At 33.7% G+C, this 3,684-nt stretch overlaps 1 annotated feature.

Annotated features, from left to right (window-relative positions):
* Positions 338-538: a silencer, noted in NCBI's record as "peak693 fragment used in MPRA reporter construct". NCBI's record gives its function as "represses an SCP1 promoter by STARR-seq MPRAs in K562 erythroleukemia cells {active_cell/tissue: K562}" and the evidence as "EXISTENCE:reporter gene assay evidence [ECO:0000049][PMID:32103011]".

Below are 3,684 nucleotides of genomic sequence, written 5' to 3'. Positions count from 1 at the left end.
AACTTGACCAGAAGCAAGATAACATCACTGGAAACTTACCTGGCAGGAAGAAAAATGTTATAGACAACTATCTTTGATGAAAATTGTTCCTGATGTTAATAATCTGGATTTACTCTTAATCCATATTTCAATGTACTGTCTTTGTTTAGAAAATTTTACATGTATCCTGAAATTAATATCTTTGTTTATGAGATAGAATAGAAGCTATTTAAAAAGTTAAAGTAGATTCTCTTTTATTTGTTGATGTCTGCATACTGCATATTTACTGACTCATAAATTATCTTAACTGGTTGTATTGGTTTCCTATTACTGTTGCAAAAACTAGCACAAACTTAAAGGTTCAAAACAGACACAAATATATTCTATTACAATGCTGAAGGTCAAAAGTTGGATACGGATATCAGGGCTGAATACTTCCTGGAGGTGCTAGGGGAGAATCTGGCTCCTTGTCTTTTCCAGCTTCTAGAGGGTGCTTGTATTCCTTGACTCTTGAAAGCCAGCAGTGTAACCTCTTCCAGTCTCTATCTCTGCTTCCGTTGTCATATTGCCTTTTCTGACACTACCGCTTCCCTCATATATGAACCCCTTATGATTACATTTGACTCACTCAGATAATTCTCCTCATCTCAAGATTCTGAATTTTACACATCTGCAAAGTCCCTTTTGCCCCGTAAATTAACATATTTACATGTTCTAAGGATTAGGGCATAGACATCTTTGAGGGACCATTATTCTGTCTCTCACACTAGCTAAACTGCTGGATATAGATATCTTCTTAATCCCATTCCAGCTGAGTCTGAACATGCCAAGATGTTTTTCAGTTTTATTTTTACTACATAATTAATAATAAATATATGAATGAATTCTCACTGTAAAATATGCAAATATTATGATAAAATCAAGTTTTACTTGATTACCACCACATTTAATTTCCAGTCCCTTCCCTCAAGTAACCATTATTATCAATGAGCAACTTGTATGCTACTAGGACTTTTTACATATTTGCATATATATTGCTATTCAAAAATGGTACATAGAATTGATTTTTGAAAGTATAAATGAGATGCTGTACATTTTTATGTTCAAGCAACTTTTTTCTCACGATATATTGGAAGTTCATAGAATGAATATACTATTAATTTCCATTTCTCTGTTGATGTTTTTCTTATTTTTTTAAAACAAGCACTTTTAATTCATGCTGCAATACATTACATATGCCTCTTTGCAGACTTGTCTGAGTAGTCCTTTAGAGAAAATCTCCAGGACTGGAAGTGATGAGGCCTAGGATACATGTTTTAAATAATTTAACAAATGCCACATAGGACTGGAAGTGATGAGGCCTAGGATACATATTTTAAATAATTTAACAAATGCCACAAAATGTCTCTCTGAAGTAGCTACACCAATCTGCCACTAGCAATTTTGGGGAGTTTCTTGTCTTCCTTAGGCGAAACAGCATTGGATATTACAATGCTTTTTTACATTTTCCTAATCAAATTGTGTTTAAAAAAGCTATCTCATTCTCATTGTAATTTTCATTTTTTTCCTAACCAATGAGGCTGCATATCTTCTCATGCTTACTGGTTATTTAGGTCTTCTCTCTTGGAATTGTGTGTTTACATTCTGTCCCATTTTTGTGGGTCTTTAAAATATTAATTTGTAGGAGTTATTTTCACATACTGTATACTAACTTTTTGCTTATTATATACATTTCAAATATATTTCTCCTTTTTATTGTTGGGTTTAATAATCTATTAATGGCATCTTTTAACATAAATAGGTTATAATTTTTATGTAGGCAAATTATTCTTTTAATATTTTATTTTTTGTATCTTGTTGAAGATGACCTCATTTATTCCATGTTTGTAGATGTATTTTTCATAATTACCTTAAACATTGCTTTATATTTGTATCTTCAATTTAAAACTTGTTTTTATTATTTCTGTGAGGTAGGGACTTCACTTTTTATTATCAAAGTTAACATTCAATTACCCCAACCCAATTTTTTGAATACCATATCATCTCCTCAGTAGCTTGAAAAGTAGTTTGAATTATGTTAGTCTGTTTCTGAAGTCTGTATTCCGATTTATTGATATCCTATTCTATTCTTGTTTTAATACTAGCCAATTTTGATTTCTTATGTTGTTACTATGTTTAGATATATTTTGATAATCCCTTGTCTTTGTTCTTCTTTTTAAAAATGCCTTTTATATTCTTATGGTGAAGACCTCCTACATGAATTTTTGAATAAGCCTGTCAAACACCTTCAGAAATCCTGTTGGAATTTGGATTTGGATGATACTAAATTTAGGACTTGTTTTTGGAGAATTATAATAATAAATTTCTCCAGTTATTCAGAATGTCACTTCTGTTATTATTGATAATTTTATGTTTTTTTTTATAAAAGCCTCAATACTTTTAGCTAATTTATAACTACTTCAGAAGGTTTTAAAAATACTTTTATTTATTGTCTTAGCACTCCATTACAGTGTTTTAATTAAGAAGTGATAACAAAGAAAAAATTTTTTCCCGTTTCTGATTTTTTTTTTTTTTGGAGATACAGTCTTGCTCTGTTGCTCAGGCGGGAGTGCAGTGGTGGGATCTCAGCTCCCTGCAACCTTCATTTCCTGGAGTCAAGCCATCCTCCCACCTCAGTTTCCCAAGCATCTGGGACCACAGATGGACGCCACCATGCCTGGCTACATTTCTTTTCTATTTTTTGTAGAGGCAGGGTTTTGCCATGTTGCCCAAACATGGTCTCAAACTCCGGAGCTCAAGTGATCTGCCCACCTTGGACTCCCAAAGTGCTGGAATTAAAGGCGTGAGCCATAGCAGCCGGCTTGTTTCTAATTTTCATCAAACACTGTGATGTTTACTTTAGGTATTTTGTAGAGACCTTTTATCAGTTAATGAAATTCATTTTTAGTTTTCCTGAAGAATACAGTGGTGACTTCGTTTGTAATAATTTGTTTAGGCTGTTTTATTATAGTTGTGTCATTGGCATTTAACTGCTGTGGCCTCAGTGAGAAAGTTTCAGCACTGTGATCTTCTGACCTGACCTTGGCGAGTGCCACCAGATACCAAGGAGACCATTCTGCCTTTCTGAAGTCTCTACCTGCAATCTTGGTTCCTACTTGAGGGAGATACCTCTGTGGCCTGCTCCTTTGCCCGTGTGTGGATATGATGATGAAGAGTAAAACTGCTGGGCTATTTCTACTGAAGTGCCCAAATTAATCACCCAGAAAGTGATTAAACCTGGCCATTCCTTTAGCCTTCATCATCTATGAGAATTTGAAAACTGTAGTCTTCTTTAAATCTACTCCATGTGTCAAAGAAGATGAAGTGCATTCAATGAATAAAAAAAGGTACAAATCCTTTTTTCTCTGGAATGTTACATATTTGTACATAATAAAAATATATTTTCTCTCCTTTGTGGTAATTAATGGTGGGAAGGGGAACTAGCAGCATGTCCTCAGTTTGTTCTTGAATTAAAAATACAGAGTTCAGGAGAGCTTGGAGAGTTGTTCCATTTAAAGTTTTTGAATATATGCACAGCTGTTGCCCTAAATAAATAGATCATGTGGCAAACATCTAATTGCCCCTCTGAGACAATGCTTCAGCATCTTTGTTTTGCCAGTCACATTCATATCACTTCTGCTGTCATTTGCTTAGCTATAATTCAGT

The sequence above is a fragment of the Homo sapiens genome, chromosome 1 (genome assembly GCF_000001405.40).
Source record: "Homo sapiens chromosome 1, GRCh38.p14 Primary Assembly".
NCBI classification, from domain to species: Eukaryota; Metazoa; Chordata; class Mammalia; order Primates; family Hominidae; genus Homo; species Homo sapiens.
This window is presented reverse-complemented; position numbering and strand designations above follow the sequence as displayed.